The 20,682-nt window shown below is 38.5% G+C and overlaps 1 long non-coding RNA gene across 1 annotated transcript; it reads right to left on the reverse strand.

The window, feature by feature from the left end:
* Nucleotides 1–6,485: 6,485 nt before the first annotated feature.
* Nucleotides 6,486–19,297, reverse strand: LOC105378874 (uncharacterized). The gene is made up of 3 exons (XR_947651.2): nucleotides 19,263–19,297; nucleotides 15,609–15,731; nucleotides 6,486–6,608 (listed from the first exon to the last, which is right to left on the reverse strand). It is a non-coding gene; the product is annotated as an uncharacterized LOC105378874 (long non-coding RNA).
* Between the last annotated feature and the right edge of the window lie 1,385 nt (nucleotides 19,298–20,682).

Consider the following 20,682-nt stretch of genomic DNA (forward strand, 5'->3'; position numbering starts at 1 on the left):
TTTGTCTATTTTTGCTTTTTTCGTTTGTGCTTTTGAGAACTTACCCCAAAAATCTTTGCCCAGATCAATGTCCTGTAGTGTTTTCTCAATGTTTACTTCTAGTAGTTTTCTAGGATTATGCCTTTTTTTTTTTTTTTTTTTTTTTTTTTTTGAGACGGAGTCTCGGTCTGTCGCCCAGGCTGGAGTGCAGTGGCGCCATCTCGGCTCACTGCAAGCTTTGCCTCCCGGGTTCACGCATTCTCCTGCCTCAGCCTCCCTAGTAGCTGGGACTACAGGCGCCCACCACCACGCCCAGCTAATTTTTTTTGTATTTTTAGTAGAGACGGGGTTTCACCGTGTTAGCCAGGATGGTCTTAATCGCCTGACCTCATGATCCGCCTACCTCGGCCTCCCAAAGTGCTGGGATTACAGGCGTGAGCCACCGCACCCGGCCTAGGATTATGTCTTACATTAAAATCTTTAATTGATTTTAGTTGATTTTTAATACAGTGAAAAATATGGATCTAGTTTCATTCTTTTCCATAGGAGTATCCAGTTGTCCTATCACCATTTATTAAAGATGCTGTCCTTTCTCCAAGGTATGTTGTTGGCACCTTTGTCAAAAATGAGTTTACTGTAAGAGCATAGATATATTTCTGGGTTCTCTATTCTATTTCATTAGTTTATTTTTTTTTCTTATTCCAGTACCATGTGATTTTAACTACTACAGCTTTGTAGTGTAATTTCAAATCAGATGGTGTGATACCTCCAGCTTTGTTCTTTTTGCTCAGGATTACTTTAGCTGTGTGAGATCTTATGTGGTTCTTTAAACAAATCTGGAGGTAGCTTTGGGGAGTATAAACATTTTAAAAGTATTAATTCTTTAAATCGTTGAACATAGGATATTTTTCCATTTTGTGTGTGTCCTCTTAAATTATTTTCATCAGTGTTTTCTAGTTTTTTCTTATAAATATATTTTACTTCTTTAGCCATACTTATTTCTAAGTATTTTTGTAACTATTGTAATTGGGATTTCTTTCTTGATTCTTTTTCATATAGATTGCTGTTAGTATATAGGACTGGTACTTATTTTTGTTTGTTGATTTTGTATCCTGTAACTTTACTAAATTTATCAGTTTTAATAATTTTTTGTGTATTAGTTTTTTATATATGGTATATTTTTAAGTTAATAAGGTGTGATTACTTCAAATTTTGTATCTCTCTGAATTTTTCAATCGTAAAAGAAACGTTTGTTTATTATAAAATGAAACAGAGAGCCAAATCATGAGTGAACTCCCATTCACAATTGCTTCAAAGAGAATAAAATACCTAGGAATCCAACTTATAAGGGACATCAAGGACCTCTTCAAGGAGAACTACAAACCACTGCTCAATGAAATAAAAGAGGATACAAACAAATGGAAGAACAGTCCATGCTCATGGGTAGGAAGAATCAATATGAAAATGGCCATACTGCCCAAGGTAATTTATAGATTCAATGCCATCCCCATCAAGCTACCAATGACTTTCTTCACAGAATTGGAAAAAACTACTTTAAAGTTCATATGGAACCAAAAAAGGGCCCGCATTGCCAAGACAATCCTAAGCCAAAAGAACAAACCTGGAGGCATCATGCTACCTGACTTCAAACTATACTACAAGGCTACAGTAACCAAAACAGCATGCTACTGGTACCAAAACAGACATATAGATCAATGGAACAGAACAGAGCCCTCAGAAATAACGCCGCATATCTACAACTATCTGATCTTTGACAAACCTGAGAAAAACAAGCAATGGGGAAAGGATTCCCTATTTAATACATGGTGCTGGGAAAACTGGCTAGCCATATGTAGAAAGCTGAAACTGGATCCCTTCCTTACACCTTATACAAAAATTAATTCAAGATGGATTAAAGACTTAAACGTTAGACTTAAAACCATAAAAACCCTAGAAGAAAACCTAGGCATTACCATTCAGGACATAGGCATGGGCAAGGACTTCATGTCTAAAACACCAAAAGCAATGGCAACAAAAGCCAAAATTGACTAATGGATTTAATTAAACTAAAGAGCTTCTGCACAGCAAAATAAACTACCATCAGAATCAACAGGCAACCTACAAAATGGGAGAAAATTTTCACAACCTACTTATCTGACAAAGGGCTAATATCCAGAAACTACAATGAACTCAAACAAATTTACAAGAAAAAAAACAAACAACCCCATCAAAAAGTCGGCGAAGGATATGAACAGACACTTCTCAAAAGAAGACATTTATGCAGCCAAAAGACACATGAAAAAATGCTCATCATCACTGGCCATCAGAGAAATGCAAATCAAAACCACAATGAGATACCATCTCACACCAGTTAGAATGGTGATCATTAAAAAGTCAGGAAACAACAGGTGCTGGAGAGGATGTGGAGAAATAGGAACACTTTTACACTGTTGGTGGGACTGTAAACTAGTTCAACCACTGTGGAAGTCAGTGTGGCGATTCCTCAGGGATCTAGAACTAGAAATACCATTTGACCCAGCCATCCCATTACTGGGTATATACCCAAGGGACTCTAAATCATGCTGCTATAAAGACACATGCACACGTATGTTTATTGCGGCACTATTCACAATAGCAAAGACTTGGAACCAACCCAAATGTCCAACAATGAGAGACTGGATTAAGAAAATGTGGCACATATACACCATGGAATACTATGCAGCCATAAAAAAGGATGAGTTCATGTCCTTTGTAGGGACATGGATGAAATTGGAAATCATCATTCGCAGTAAACTATCGCAAGGACAAAAAACCAAACACCATGTGTTCTCACTCATAGATGGGAATTGAACAATGAGAACACATGGACACAGGAAGGGGTACATCACACTCTGGGGACTGTTGTGGGGTGGGGGGAGGGGGAGGGATAGCATTAAGATATATATCTAATGCTAAATGACGAGTTAATGGGTGCAGCACACCAGCATGGCACATGTATACATGTGTAACTAACCTGCACATTGTGCACATGTACCCTAAAACTTAAAGTATAATAATAATAAAAACATAAAATAAAATAAAATGATAAGGTATTACAAACATAAGAAGAAAAGGCCAAAGAAAGCACTATAGTGCCAACATTTTAAGGAAATCAATAAATTGGAGATAATAATCACATTCTTTTTCAGTGTGTGTTATTTACAATTGCTTATTTTTTAATTATTAACTAATGACATAATTCAAAGTTTGATATAAATTGTTTGCAAATTGCTAGAGTCACTGTTGTAGGGAATTTTTAAGGTAATTTGATTAAACTACTATAAAAAAAATTAATCTTTCTACAATTTCCTGACAAACTTCCTACAAGGAAATCTTATTATTATATGTTAATCACTATTGTTACTGGAATGTTATTTCATATATTTATCCAATTTCATCAACATTTCATTTTCTTGGTGTTCTTACCTCTGCTTTTTGTAGTAATTCAAACTGCCCACTGTGTATTTTGTTTCATGGGTTCCTAATTTGGCAGGCAACAGGCACTTATGAGCCTGAATAGAAAAGGAGGAATACACGCCTCTGGACAAATGGTGGGACATCTTAGACACAGTAACAAGGTACGTCAGGAGGTGCTCCTTTGGCTAGGCTGGCAATTTGCTGAATTTGGCTGAAATGAGAGGAGTCCTTTCCTTGGGGACTACAATGGCAGGTAAATGAACCTACAAGGCATAGATGACAGACAAGGGTTGGCTTCTTAAGTGCAGCTGGAGTGGCACACATTTGTAAGCAGATAGCATGCCGATGCTGCTGTCTTACTTGGATCTACTACTGGAGATGGTGTCATTCTAGTTGATTTCTGGGGAGTATATTGAGACCCAAAGCCTTGGACTGAGCTGAGAAATGCATTATTTAAAAGATGAAATTAAGGAAGTTTATATTCCTCCTTTTCTCAATACTTCAAAGGAAGTGGCTATCCTACTGAAGGAATGCTACAAACCAAGAGATGTGTGCTGGGCCCTGCTCACAGAAGCTTTTCACCAGGATGCCAACCAGACAGAAGAAAAGAACCCAAACTCCTAGAGAAGATGAAGTGGAGGGGAGGACCCAGGATGCCAACCAGACAGAAGAAAAGAACCCAAACTCCTAGAGAAGATGAAGTGGAGGGGAGGACCCTGGAGAAGAGGACTGTTGCCCTCTAGAGAAAAGAGCAACATGGTGTCACCACAATTGGGACTGGGAAAATTTACCCTCTTTTTGCCTGTCGTCCACCACAAGGCAATAAGAACAAAACAGACAAAATGATTAAGAAGGAGAAACCAACTCTCCCTTGGAGGAGAAAACATGCATCTTCTCTCTCACCCTGAGGCCCAGTCTGTCCTTAAGGATCTAGCCCAAGAACAAAATGAGAAAGGATCTGGGTACTTGTTAACACATCTTGCTGCATGTGAGTAAAACAACAATCACCAAGTTTTATAGGTAGCTAATGACATGCACCAGAACTATCATATCAGTCTGCTGACTAAACAGATGGAACAAATCAAAAAGTCATTTCTGTTTCTAATCTATTCTACCTCCATTAGGTGAATAGACTGGCTGTGAATACTTTCGAAATCCTAGTTTGTGCCCCATCTTGTATGGAATTCTGGGTTATGAAAATGCTTTGTCACTGGCTCCATCTAAGCCCTACAAAACAAAATACAATTTAGATTATAAAACAACATAGAACCAGGGATGGATTGTTATATAAATGTGGCAAAATAATGGCCTCTGAACATTGGCCACTAGGTTGTTTATTTCTTCGCTGCAGGCTGCAACCCATTAGCTCAAGAGCCTGCCAGTGCCAAACACAAATATTTACACATCCAGTTATTTTTAAAACAGCCCAAACAAGCTAATTTTTAGCTATTTAGAGCCTGCTTATTTTGAATACTTTGTAAAACGTCATGCCACATCTGCCAGCAATAGATAAGCCCTATGCCATAAAGACCCCCAAACCACTGCTGCCCTCTGGATGTGGCTGAGTCACATCATCTGGATACATAAGTCCCATCTTTGATACCCCTTCCCCCTAGGAAAATTCCCAGCCCTCCTCCCTTTCTGTAGCAACCCCACTTAAGCCTCTGGATAGACTTATGTTCTGTCATAAGAGATCCCCCCTCCCATCCCACATAAAATACAAACCTGTCAAAGAGTGATGAAATAAACTGCCATGTCATGGTCATATCTTTTCCTTGATCAAGCCCCAAATTTCTCAAACCTCTCATGAATATGCCATGCACATACTAATTTAAAGAAAGCTAGAGTGCCCCTATTAATATAAGATGATGTAGACTTCAGAACATGGAATTTTATTAATAATATAGAGGGACATTACATTATAAAAAAAAGTAGTTTTCCAAGAATAACTTAAAAATCCTAAAAACATATGTACTTAAATGCTGAGCTTCAAAAATACATGAAGCAAATCTAATAGAATACAAAGGAAAAAGGAAATCTCCATAATCAAGTTGAGACTTCAACCTTCATCTTTCAGTAATTGATCAAATGAATAGACAGAAAATTGCTAAGATATGAAAAGTCTGTCTACCTATCTAACTACCAGACCTGAAAAACCTATCTATAAACTTGACTCTAATTCCTACATCACCCCACTTAACAACAGAATAAGATTTCTTATCAAGTATACATGAAATATGCACCAAAATTGACCATATTCTGGGCCACAAAACAAATCTTAAACAATTTAAAGGAATAGATATCATACAAAGGGCATCCCCAGATAACTATAGATTAAACCAAAATCAATGACATAAAGGCATCTGTCATATCCCCTTAGACATTTAGCAATTAATCAACAAAACCCTATGTAGTGCCTACACCTAAGAAAAAGTCTCAAAGGATACTGCTTTTGTGATTATACTAAATGAAAAACAAACATATCAAGGTTTATGGGATGCAACTAAAGTGGAGTTCAGAAAGAAAATTATAACAGTAAGTGCTTATATTAGAATACCATAATGGTCTTTAAATTGTTCATGCACCTGCCTACATTTAATTATCAACACAGGACTCATGATTTTCTAAATAGGATTAGATTGTATTATATCTCTGCCTTTCTGTCTTATGCAGAATAAAATCCTAAAAGTTTATCACAGCCTTCAAGGCTCAATATGATATGGCCACACGGTACTTTTCTGACCTCACTTTCTCCCACCTGTGTCTACTGTTCCAGTAATGTTAGCCTCCTTGTGCTTTCTCAAAAATACTCCTGCCTCCACTTCTTTGCAATAATTTCTCCCTCTGACAGTTAACACTCTGCTTTTTATAGACACATAAGTGAGTCTCTCCCTTCATTAAGTTCTCTCAGCCTCTCTTTATTAGAGAGGCTTCTTTAACCACCCTGTATAAAATACCACTCCCTCTACCTTGGGTAACTGCAATGATACATCAAACATACTTGATATGTAAGTGCCTCAAACACAGCAGACATTTATATTTTGTTCACTCTATGATGACCATGCCAGTTTAACACTCCTCCACATCTTTGCTCAGAGTATTAGGCTGAGTGGAACCATGACACCATTTTCAATATGTGGTTTCCAAGCTTACTGGGGTCCTCTCCATCCTTGCTAGTGAAAAGATAAAAAGAGGATGAAAACAACAAGAGTATGGTAGGCTTTAGTTTTGTTCACTTTTTTAAGGGCTAGATTAGAAGATTGCATACATAATTTCTGCTCACTCTTTAGTGAATGAAACCGAGTCACATGATTATATTTTACTTCATAAAAGGTTGATTTTGAGAGCCTCAAATCTATGTTCTCAAGCAAAAGATTATAATGTAATTTTGGAGAGAATTTAAGTCTTTGAGCTCCCATTAAATTGTGCCTTAAATTTTTTAGTCTGGAGCTTACTAGATCCTTCTGTTAGTAAGTGCATTTTTTTCTTTCTTGTTTCTCTAGCCTGAATAGAGTGCAAGCATCATGAGAACAGGTACTCTGGGTATTTTTCTCTTCGGTTGAACAAATAGTCGTAAATGCCTGTAGTTTTACATTTAGATACCGAAATAGACTTATAAATGGAACTTTCACAATAAAATTATGAATATATTGAATGGAAGTGAAGATAATTTGTAACATTAAAGATTTATTAAAATTGTCTTGAAAACATAAGGTAGATAAAGAAATTATTTTTAATTCTGGGCAATTTACCCCCCCCACACACACACATATATATGCATATAATTTTTACTGATTATTACTAAGCATTTAAAAAAGAGTCATAGTTCTTTATCCAACATGAGGATTCTACACATACTTCCTGCTATTTACTCTGAAATACCCACAACCATTAGAAATAATTCTGAAGTATTTAAACCATAATTAAAGTCATTACAATGCCTTCTGTAGTAAAATTTGGCTTTTGAAAAGTGAAAATCGTTCTGCAAAACTCTCCATATTGCAGTAGAAAAACTAAGTATCACTTACATTTGACAGCAACTAAATGTAACACGGGCATGCAAAAAAAATGGAGAAATATAAATTATAAGAAGTCAATTGCATAGAGAATTTTTAAAAATATATTTGGTATTATTTGTATCATAGGGAATATGGTAGTTGCCTTCACAAGTCTAACCAGATAGAAAAAGAAAATTCCAAGTTTCAGAAAGCCCAGCCATTGGCAGGTACCCAAAATATGTAACATCAAGAGGTTGGTATGGAATGGACACTATGAATAAAGGACAGTAGGGCCCCAAACTGAGAAACTTCAGTAATGTCTAGCTGCTGTCTTTCCTAGTGGCATTAAAAATAAATATATTTCTTGTTGGAAAGTGTCCTGATTGTGTAGGAAAGTAATGATTACATATTTATTTTACTGCTGTTATCACTAAAATCATATCCTCTCTTATATAATATATTTATCTGATTTAGGAAATAGGCTCCAAAGAAAATTGAGGTCTCCTTACAGGCAAAGAGAACATAGAGTTGAAATAGAATTGCATTTAAGATGTGCATATTGGCCAGGGGCGGTGGCTCACGCCTGTAATCTCAGCACTTTGGGAGACCGAGGCGGGTGGATCACGAGGTCAGGAGATTGAGACCATCCTGGCTAACATGGTGAAAACCCGTCTACTAAAAATACAAAAAAATGAGCCACGCGTGGTGGCGGGCGCCTGTAGTCCCAGCTACTCGGGAGGCTGAGGCAGGAGAATGCCGTGAACCCAGGAGGCGGAGCTTGCAGTGAGCCGAGATCGCACCACAGCACTCCAGCCTGGGCAACAAGAGCAAGACTTCGTCTCAAAAAAAAAAAAAAAAAAAAGTGCATATAATGTTTTTTCTTGTCAAAAGAAGGAACTTACAGGAACATATACAATTATCAAACTTTTGTGTATGTTCAAAATTATTAAATTTTAAATTATTAAACATATACAATTATTAAACTTTAAATTTTAAAGTTTAAATTTTATATTTATATTTTATTTCATAACATCCTAACAACAAAACATTTTTCCTCAAATTTATGTCATGTATTTAGACTTAAAATGGATCTGTATTCATATCACCTGTTGTTTATGATTACAGACTTAGTCTTCCTGTTCCAGTTGATTCCACACTGAAATCTACTGTTTCAGGCACTTTTTAAAATATATCTATTTAATTTCTGGGATACATGCACAGAATGTGCAGGTTTGTTACATAAGTATACACATGCCATGGTGGTTTGCTGCACCCATCATCCCGTCATCTACATTAGGCATTTCTCCTAATGCTATCCCTCCCCTAGATCCCCTCCACCCCCTGACAGACCCCAGTGTGTGATGTTCCCCTTCCTGTGTCCATGTGTTGTCATTGTTCAACACCCACTTATGAGTGAGAACATGCAGTGTTTGGTTTTCTGTTCTTATGATAGTTTGCTAAGAATAATGGTTTCCGGCTTCATCCATGTCCCTGCAAAGGACATGAACTCAGCCTTTTTTATGGCTGCATAAGTATTCCACGATATATATGTGCCACATTTTCTCTATCCAGCTTATCATTGGTGGACATTTGGATTGGTTCCAAGTCTGTTATTGTGAACAGTGCGGCAAAAAAAACATATGTGTGCATGTGTCTTTATAGTAGAATGATTTATAATCCTTTGTGTATATACCCAGTAATGGGATTGCTGTGTCAAATGGTATTTCTGGTTTAGATCCTTGAGGACTTGCCACGCTGTCTTCCACAATGGTTGAACTAATTTATACTCCAACCAACAGTGTAAAAGCATTTCTATTTCTCTGCATCTGTTGTTTCCTGACTTTTTAATGATCACCATTCTAACTGGCATGAGATGGTATCTCATTGTGGTTTTGATCTGCATTTCTCTAATGACCAGTGATGATGAGCATTTTTTCGTATGTTTGTTGACTGCATAAATGTCTTCTTTTGAGAAGTGTCTGTTCACATCCTTTGCCCACTTCTTGATGGGGTGGTTTGTTTTTCTCTTGTAAATTTGTTTAAGTTATTTGTAGATTCTGGATATTAGCCCTTTGTCAAATGGATAGACGGCAAAATTTTTCTCCCATTCTGTAGGTTGCCTGTTCACTCTGATGATAGTTTCTTTTGCCGTGCAGAAGCTCTTTAGTTTAATTAGATCCCATTTGTCAATTTTGGCTTTTGTTGCCATTGCTTTTGGTGTTTTAGTCATGAAGTCTTTGCCTTTACCTACATCCTGAATGGTATTGCCTAGGTTTTCTTCTAGAGATTTTATGGTTTTAGGTCTTACATTTAAGTTTTTAATCCATCTTGAGTTAATTTTTGTATAAGGTGTAAGGAAGGGGTATAGTTTCAGTTTTCTGTATAAGGCTAGCCACTTTTCCCAACACCGTTTATTAAATAGGGAGTCCTTTCCTCATTGCTTGCTTTTGTCAGGTATGTCAAAGATCAGATGGTTGTAGATGTGTGGTGTTATTTATGAGGCCTCCGTTCTGTTCCATTGGCCTGTATATCCATTTTGATACTAGTACCAAGTGGTTTTGGTTACTGTAGCCTTGTAGTATAGTTTGAAGTCAGGTAGCATGATGCCTCCAGCTTTGTTCTTTTTGTTTAGGATTCTCTTGGCTATGTGGGCTCTTTTTTGGTTCCATATGAAATTTAAAGTAGTTTTGTCTAATTCTGTGAAGAAACTCAATGGCAGCTTGATGAGCATAGCATTGAATCTATAAATTACTTTGGGCAGTATGGCCATTTTTATGATATTGATTCTTCCTATCCATGAGCATGGAATGTTTTTCCATTTATTTGTGTCCTCTCTTATTTCCTTGAGCAGTGGTTTGTAGTTCTCCTTGAAGAGGTCCTTCACAACCCTTGCAAGTTGTATTCCTAGGTATTTTATTCCCTTTGTAGAAATTATGAATGGGAGTTCACTTATGATTTGGCTCTCTATTATTGGTGTATATGAATGCTTGTGATTTTTGCACATTGATTTTGTGTCCTGAGACTTTGCTGAAGTCGCCTATCAGCTTAAGAATTTTTTGGGCTGAGAAGATGGGGTTTTCTAAATATACAATCATGTCATCTGCAAACAGAGACAATTTGACTTCCTCTCTTCCTATTTGAATGCCTTTTATATCTTCCTCTTGTGTTTCAGGCACTTTTTTTGCATTAGTTACCTAAGGGGTTCTGTAACAAATTTCCACAAATGTGGTGGCTTAAAACTACACACATTCGTTCTCTTATACTCTAGAGATAAGAAACCTGAAATCAGTTGCATTGAGCTAAAATCAAAGTGTCAGCAGGGCCGCACTCTCTCCAGAGGCTCTCGGGAAGTGTGCTTCCTTCTCATTTTCAGATTCTGAAGTTGCATCACTTGCATTCCTTGGCTCATGACTTCTCGCACCTAGCCAGCAGAGTCTCACCTCTCTCTGACTCTGCTCCCCTCTGCCTCATCTGCTTCTCTCTACTTCAGCCATGTGACCATCTTATCTGTTTCAAATCTGTCTTTGCCTTTGTCTTATAAGGACATCTGTGACTGCATTCAATGTCTACCTGAATGATACAGAAAAATCTACCCATCTCAAGATCCTTAGCTTAATCATATCTGGTTAAGTCTCTCTTTGCCATTTAAGGTAACATTCACAGGTTCCAGAGACTAGGACCTGGAGACCTTTGAGCGTTATTATTTAGCCTCCCACATGGTTAAGGATACTTTAAGAATTATTAGTCAATGATCAACAGAACTGTAAGTTAAATTTGACCCAATTCTTCAATTCTTGTAGCAATATTAATTTATTTAGTCTGAGATTACCAAAATTAAATTTTTCTTGAAACTCAGAGAAAATTATAAATTTGATTTGTCTATTTTCCAAAGATGTCTATTTATCTCAAATGATACTTAAGTATCCTGAACTTGATGTCTTGAAATTTTAATACCTAGAACTAATCCACCTTATGGGGAAAAAAGTGTGTTAATATTTTGTTTTTACAGTATAGAAATCAATTTGTCATCTTAGCTACATTTAGTAACCAAGGAGTAAAATGAGACTTGATAAAAACACTACCAGCTTTCCCTTCTATATGATTAAGAGAACATATTTTTTGGAGTCTGTTTATATTGCCTTTTAAAATTAAATAGCATTTTCAATTTGTGCAGGAAGAAACTGCTGCCAGAAAGATGAACATCTGCAAAAGTTTTAGAAACTGTATATGATTTTTTTCACATTCTATAAAGGTTTTTAGGACTGATAAGAAAATAATAAATTTGGTGGTACCTGAGTCACCTAGGTTAGCACAAATGAATATTTTGAGTTTCCAAAGAAATATTTGACCACCTCATGCTGACTTAATATCTTTCAGGGTAATCACTGGCATGTTTTAATTAGCAATCAGGAGAGAAATTTACAAAATTAATATGAAATTATGTTAAACCTAAATCAAAACACTACCAGCTGTATAATTACACATAGATACACCACATAATAGGTGAAAATATGAAGCAGAAATTGACATGCATGGGATCAAAAACATTAAACCTCCTGGTTTACTGTGCCTTGTATCATCTGGGTATTATATCTGTAATAGTGGTTTGTATTGTGGTGAACATTGTGTAACAAAGTGAATTGCTGCAGCAGAGTACCTTGCTGTAGAACATAGACAAATAGCACTCTTTTTAATTTAAAACCAAACTTTCTTTCCTTCCAAGAGCTTATTAAAATCTCAATAGGGCAATAATAGCAAATCATATTACCTAGGAAAGAACATACATAAATTTTATTTCACAAAATTGTCTCTGCTTTTCTAAAGTAATCTAAGAATACATGGTATTATTTCATCTCATTATCCATTCCTTTTATAGAAAATTGGAGATCTGGAGTCACAAGTTTTCTTGTTCAGTCTCTCTACTCTATTTATAATAAATGTGTATGTGGTAGTAACATTTTGATAAAAGTCCAACATACAGAAAATTCTGGAGAAAATACATTTTCACAGTTAATCATCAAATGAAATAAAATCGTTCCTAAGGCAAAATAGTAGGGAAAAGAACTATAGATTTTACATATATTATTGGGATTTTAGTACAAACTCTTTCATTTAGGAGTTACTTCAACCTTGGAAAACAGAAAGGCACAACTGTGTTCGTGTTATGGCTACCTGTGCCACAAGCAACAGTTATTGGAGGCAATTTGTTTTTGTTCATTCATTCATTTAACACATTTTAAAAATATTCATTAAGTTACTTCTATGAACCAAGACTTGTTCTAGAAACTGAAAATACCTCAGTGGAAAAAAAAAAAAAAATATATATATATATATATACAAGGGGACCTAGAACTCATATTCTATCCTGTGTGTGAGAGTGTAGAAAACAAAGAATAACTAATAAAGAAAATAAATATGTAAGATATGTAGCATTTTAGAAAGTAATAACTTTTATTTTGTTATTAACTTTAATGGAGGAAAATACAGCAGAACAAGGAGATGGAGATAATAGAAAACTCGAGAAGGAAGGAGTACTGCCTTACTTAAACAGTGGAATAAGAAGATCTTATGGAAATAACATTTTATAAAGTCTTATAGAAACAAAAGAGCAATGCTTATAGATATCCAATGGAAGAGCATTCTAAGACTCTCAGGCAGAGGATGAATAAAATTTGCAAGGTGAGAATAAAATTTAATCAAGTTGAAGTTACAAGAAAGTGAGAAAGGTGAGAAAGAATTAAAGATACGTGTTAGGGAGTGGTTACAATGTTGGACTATGGAACTTTTCTCAATAAGGAGGGAGTTAAGTCAATGATGAGGCTTTAAGATTATTGGATTGGAAGTCCATTGTGGTTGAAAGACTGTTGGAGTCTTGTACCTGAAAGGGTTAGCTATAAGAAAGAATGTGCTGAACTGGTAAGGGGATCATTGAAATTGAGTACATGGAAGGGTTAAAGATATTGATAACAGCAGGATCTAGGGATATGTTCAGTGGGTAACTGGCTAAAATAGGTATGAAGACAAGAATAAGGACAAGAATAGGACATGAATATTGGAGGAAAGAAGTTCAAAGAAACATGAGCCAAGATGTTGGTGTGGCCCTCATTATGAATACAGGAATCTCAGAAATTAAGATTGCTGTAATGTTATAGAATATGATACTAAGACAGGAGATAAAACTGTGGATAGAAAAGAGAGATGACCTGGATGTGCACAGATCACTAAAAAGAATTGGCAGTAGTTACATAGTTTTATGAGCAAAATTTCAGTGCTTCGAGTATTTGCGGAAGAGGAAGAGAGGACAGTTTGGAAGTGGAAATGTAAGAGACGTTTGAACCAGAGCTACTCCATCTTGAATAGGTGGTGATTAAAATAAGGCTGAGATATACTGGGCTGCATTCCCAGAAGGATAGGCATTCTAAATCACAGGATAAGACAGGAGATCAGCACAAGACATAGGTCACAAAGACCTTGCTGATAAAACAGCATGTGGTAAATAAGTGGCCAAATCGCACTAAAACTAAGATGGCGACGGAAGTGACTTGTCGTGGTCTTCGCTACTCATTATACATGAATTATAATACATTACCATGTGAAAAGACATTCTGACCAGTGCCATGACAGTTTACAGATGCCATGACATCTGGAAGTTACCCTATTCGGTCTAAAAAAGGGGAGGAACCCTCAGTTCCTTGAATTGTCCACCCCTTTCCTGGAAAACTCACGAGTAATCCACCCCTTGTTAAGCATATAATCCAGAAATAATCATAAAAATAGCCAGCAAGCAGCCCTTGGGTCTGCTCTGCCTATGGAGTAGCCATTCTTTATTTCTTTCCTTTCTTAATAAACTTACTTTCACTTTACTCTATGGACTCGCCCTGAATTCCTTCTTGTGCAAGAGCCAAGAGTCCTCTCTTGGGGTCTGGATCACCCTTTCTGGTATCAGAACTGTGAAGCAAGAAAGACCCCTTGCTTGCATCTAGGTTCATGATTACAGGATAAAAAATTACCCACTCTTTAAAAAGGACAAGAAAATTAGTATCTCAAGAAGATATTAAAGTTTTGGCTGGTTCAAGAAAGTAAATGCTTAGAGAAGGGGATGAGGATATGGGGCTTTCTGCTGTTGTCCAGTTGTTTTTTTCTTAAAATAATTGTTTTTCAAAGGGGGAAGGGAAATTTCCATAAATGAGGAGTATGTAAGATGGGGACAGAAGAAAGGATGGAAGGAGACAAGTGGAAATTGAAAGGCAAGATATGAGACAGTACCGTAGGAATGTGTGGATTCTTCTGGTGAGTGATAGAATTAGGAATGAAGGAGATCATAAGATCATTTATGCTAGTTTTTAAAATAGATAGTATTGGCCTGGCTCTGAGTGTTATAGGTAGAAAGGGATAGGTGTCTAAGGCTTTTTACTTCTTTTAGAAGGGCTGTGAGAATAACACTGTAACAGTATATGTGGGGCTCCATCTAGTCCACTAGAGATAGATGTTTGTAGATCTGAAAAAAAAAATTATAGTCTAGTATGAGTACACAGACACTCTTCTCATTGGTAAATACTTCTTACTGGTGGAGGCACTTCCTAAAGTAGTAAACAATCACAGCAATGAGACAGACATGTGCATAATAACATGAGTAAGTACTAAAATTAGAGAAGCTCATGAAAATAGTAATAAATAAATAATACATTTCTATAAATTAAAAATATATACCTACAAAACAACAATAGAGAGAAATAAATATAGGAGAAATTTGTTCATGACTTTGAAGTGAAGGAGTGCAAGAAATGCTGCACCAAACTGTGCCTTTTTGGTATGCTGATTAATTCAAACTGAAAGCACTCCGAGAACAGCAAATTTGGGAAAAGGGAGGGAGCCTTCTCTGAATTTTCCTTATTTGCCTAAAGATAGATTCTCCAAAAGGACCACAATTGTCATAAGTCCCCTCCCTGGGAGTCTCATCAACCAGGGAAGATTAATTCCTATCACAGAAGCAGAGTCTGGAGGTCAGCAGCAGGACCAGAAAGACTGTCATAGATCATTACTTGATCTTCTGAGGGCTCATTCATCTTTCCAAAACATCTTTTTCTCTCCTCTAAGTTGCCTGCTTCTACTATCCCTTTCCTATAAAGTGGGTGTACAGGTTTCAAGATCTTACTGGGTTTTGGGGGTATTTACCTTTCTTTCCTGAGATTCCTTCATGCACATAATATATTTTTATACTTTTTCTCCTGTTAATTTGCCTGATGACTGTTTATTTCATCCTCAGTTATCAAACCCTCAGAAAGAGTCTTCCCTTTCCTATAGAAGTCAACAAAGAGAGGTTAAACATGACATAAAAGGCAAAAAGCATAAAAGAAAATAATAAAGTGGACTTTATCAAAATGGAAATCTCTACTTTTAAAAAAATATTGACAGGAAAATAAAAAATCAAGCCAATTTATTGGCAATACACACACGTGAAATAGGACTTGCATACAGGAAAAATAAAGAGCTACTACATCTCGATAAGAAGTAATTAATTTAAAAATGGACAAAAAACTTGAATGAAAATGTTACATAAGAAGATATATGAATAACCAGTAAGTACATAAAAGATGAGCAACATTAAAGTCATTGTGTAAATGCAAATTAAAAACAAGTAAGATATCACTACATACCTATTTAAATGTCTAAAATTAACCTCCCAAAGAGTCTGACATATCAATGTGTAATATGGTTCAACTATTTTAGAAACTGTTGATACTTTCCTAGAAAATTAAAATATACTTACTATATGACACATGAATAATACCCTTAGATACTTACCTGGAAGAAATGAAAACACATGCCCACATTACAACTTTACATAAATGTTCATGTAAAGAGCTTTATTCATATTACTTACAATCTGGGGAACACTCAGCATGTGAATGGATAAACACACTTGGCATACACAGAACGAAACAATACTTGGTAATAAAAAGTGAAAACAAAAATAAAAATAAAAACAAAAGTCTACTAATATATACAAGGCAAATGAATCTTAAAAGCATTATGTTGATCAAAAGGAGCCATACATAAAAATGTATATACAATATTATTCCATTTATAGGATATTCTAGAACAGATAAAACTAATATATAGTGAGTGAAAACAGATCCATGTTGCCCCGAATAAGAGGCAGAAATATTTTCTGGAAAGGGCAGAAGGAACTTTCTGTATTAAATAAAATATTCTATATCTTGATTATTGTGGCAATTATTCATTTTATAAAAATTCATTTAACTGTACACTTAGTTACTTCATTTTTACTGTAACTAAATTACACCATGATGTAGTTTATTTTTAAAACCTGAAAACCTCAGAACAGAAAAACAAACAAAATATAGACTTAAAAATGAGAAAAATGTAACATATCGAAAACGACTAATTTTTTTAATGTATAAAATCTCACTAAAAATTGTAAAGAGAAAATCTAACAAGGAGAAAATGTGAGTCAAGGACAGCGAATGGATAATTCACACACACATACGTGTGGGGGTAAATTAGGATGGTATTTACACATTTTAAAATCGTTCATCTTCACTCATAATTAGAAAAATGTATGCTGAGGACTTTTTCTTAGAGATATACCTACATACAGGCAAAATAATATGTACAAAATGATTATTCTTAAAATTAATCACAATACAGCCAGGCGCAGTGCCTCACACCTGTAATCCCAGCACTTTGGGAGGCTGAAGCAGGCGGCTCACTTGAGGCCAGGAGTTCGAGACCAGCCTGGCCAACATGGTAAAACCCTGTCTCTAGTAAAAACAGAAAAATTAGCCTGGTGTGGTGGTGTGCACCTCTAGTCCCACCTACTTGGGAGGCCGACGCATGAGAATCACTTAAACCCAGGAGGTGGAGGTTGCCGTGAGCTGAGATTGTGCCACTGCACTCCAGCCTGAGCAACAGAGTGAGACTCTGTCTCAAAAAAATAAAACAAATAAATAAAATAAATCAGAATACAATATAGGAAATTAAAATTCATCAATAAAGCATTAGCTATATAAATTTTGGAACATCCACAAAACATTCAAACAAAATCAGGAACCCCCATGCTAAACTGAAAAGATTTCTAAAAGGTACAAGACATGAATAAAAGAAAGGTGATAGTATGTCCAGAATTGGTGGGTTCTTGGTCTCACTGACTTCAAGAATGAAGCCGCCCACCCTCCCTGTGAGTGTTACAGCTCCTAAGGTGGCGCCTCTGGAGTTTGTTCCTTCTGATGTTAGGATGTGCTCGGAGTTTCTTCCTTCTGGTGGGTTCGTGGTCTCCCTGGCTCAGGAGTGAAGCTGCAGACCTTGGCGGTGAGTGTTACAGCTCTTAAGGCGGCGCGTCTGGAGTTGTTCGTTCCTCCCGGTGGGTTCGTGGTCTCGCTGGCCTCAGCAGTGAAGCTGCAGACCTTCGGGGTGAGTTTAACAGCTCATAAAGGCAGTGTGGACCCAAACAGTGAGCAGCAGCAGGATTTATTGCAAAGAACGAAAGAACAAAGCTTCCACAGTAGGGAAGGATACCCTAGCGGGTTGCCACTGCTAGCTCGGGCAGCCTGCTTTTATTCTCTTATCTGGCCCCACCCACATCCTGCTGATTGGTAGAGCCCAGTGGTCTGTTTTGACAGAGCGCTGATTGGTGCGTTTACAATCCCGGAGCTAGACACAAAGGTTCTCCACGTCCCCACCAGATTAGCTAGATAGAGAGTGTGGACACAAAGGTTCTCCAAGGCCCCACCAGAGTAGCTAGATACAGAGTGTCGATTGGTGCATTCACAAACCCTGAGCTAGACACAGGGTGCTGATTGGTGTGTTTACAAACCTTGAGCTAGATACAGAGTGCCAATTGGTGTATTTACAATCCTTGAGCTAGACATAAAGTTTCTCCAAGGCCCCACCAGAGTAGCTAGATACAGTATCGACTGGTGCATTCACAAACCCAGAGCTAGACACACGGTAGTGACTGCTATGTTTACAAACCTTGAGCTAGATACAGAATGCCAATTGGTGTATTTACAATCCCTGAGCTAGACGTAAAGGTTCTCCACATCCTCACCAGACTCAGGAGCCCAGCTGGCTTCACCCAGTGGGTTCCGCGCCCGGTCTGCAGGTGGAGCTACCTGCCAGTCCCGCGCCATGTGCTGGCACTCCTCAGCCCCTTTGGATGGTGGATGGGACTGGGCGCCCTGGAGCAGGGGGCGGCGCTCGTCGGGGAGGCTCGGGCCGCACAAGAGCCCACGGAGGGGGTGGGAGGCTCAGGCATGGCGGGCTGCGGATCCTCAGCCGTGCCCCGCGGGAAGGCAGCTAAGGCCCGGCGAGAAATCGAGCGCAGCGCCGGTGGGCCGGCACTGCTGGGGCACCCAGTACACCCTCCGCAGCCGCTGGCCCGGGTGCTAAGCCCCTCATTGCCTGGGGCCGGCAGGGCCGGCCGGCTGCTCCGAGTGCAGGACCCGCCAAGCCAACGCCCACCCGGAACTCCAGCTGGCTCGCAAGCGCCGCGTGCAGCCCCGGTTCCCGCTGGCGCCTCTCCCTCCACACCTCCCCGCAAGCTGAGGGAGCCGGCTCCGGCCTTGGCCAGCCCATAAAGGGGCTCCCACAGTGCAGCGGTGGGCTGAAGGGCTCCTCAAGTGCCGCCAAAGTGGGAGCCCAGGCAGAGGAGGCACCGAGAGCGAGCGAGGGCTCTGAGGACTGCCAGCACGCTGTCACCTCTCAATAGCAAGAGGGGACAGATAAATTCCTTGGTAGAACGGGACAGTGCCGGGTAAAACCCAAACTTCAAGCCACAGACAGTCTGAAACCTGAAAACTGACCTACCAGTTTTGGGTGGAGCCCGTCACCGGAGTAAGAACTTCTTTACTTCCTGGATGCCTTTTAGCCAATCAAATGGTGCTTTTTCCAGACCTGCCCAAGGACCAATCAGCATGCACTCCTCCATTCTGAGCACATATAAACCCTGGACTCAGCCTCACAGGTGGCTGCTACCTGCTTTCCGGCCTCCTCTCCCACGGAGGGCTGCCCACTTTGGGTCCCCTCTTCTTGTCCAGAGATTTTCTGTTACTCAATAGAATTATTCTTGGCCAGGCGTGGTGGCTCACGACTGTAATCTCAGTATTTTGGGAGGCCGAGGTGGGCGGATCACTTCAGGTCAGGAGTTCGAGACCAGCCTGACCAACATGGCGAAACCCCGCCTCTGCTAAAAATAATAATAATAAAAAACAAACAAACAAAAATCTAGCAGGTCGTGATGGCGGCAGCCTGTAGTCCCAGCTATTCGGGATGTTGAGAAAGGAGAATGACTTGAACCTGGAAGGCGGAGGTTGCAGTGAGCCGAGATAGCACCACCACACTCCAGCCTGGGCGACAGAGTGGGACTCCGTCTCAAAAAAAAAAAAAAAAAAAAAAAAAAAAAAAAAAAAATCCTCTTGGTCGCAGGACAAGAACCTGGCACCTGGAACTGCGGATATGAAAAGAACTGTAACCTGTGTTCCTCCTCGCAGAGCTATGGGAGAAAAGATCACTGGGCACCACACACCCCTATTCACAGAGAAGGCAGCAAGACCTGAGCTGTGGCATGCCCTTGTTCACCAAGTTGCAGGCGAGAGAACGAACGAGAGCTGTAACATTTTACGGGGGCTCAGACCTCCAGACTCCCTGAACGAAAACTGTAACACTCCTTGGGGCTCCGCAGTTTCTGCCATCTCCAAGTTTTCAGGCATTGCAGGCTCCCTATAGTCCAGACACTGACGCCGGAGGTGGAAGCCTATCGCGGCATATCCCGTACCAGCCATGGGATGAGCACAGAGCCTTGGCGGTTGCAGGATCCTGGTGAGTAGCATGAGCCCAGAGCAGCCTGCTGGGCCCAGTGGGAGAAGCGAGCCCAGCAGGCCCAAGTGAAGCTCAGACAGAGTCACTGCCAGCCATGGAGATTTCTGGCTGGCAAAGCGGCACCGAAAGACTCCTATGTAAATGATACACTATAGTGTGCATATAGCCCTATCGTGTTCAGATGAAAAGACTGGGGACATGATAAATACAGATAAACTGTTCACAGTGTAACTGTTTTACACTTTTCATTTTTGAGTTACGTCTTTGTTTAACCACTTTTTAGAATTATATATATATATATAAATTTAAATTTTTAATTGTCACTATGACAAAATTTTTCTATTTGAATTTATTTACTTGTACAAGTAGACACAATTACTTGTACTGCATCTCACATCTTATTTTACTA

Source organism: Homo sapiens, chromosome 1 (genome assembly GCF_000001405.40).
Source record: "Homo sapiens chromosome 1, GRCh38.p14 Primary Assembly".
Lineage (NCBI taxonomy): Eukaryota > Metazoa > Chordata > Mammalia > Primates > Hominidae > Homo > Homo sapiens.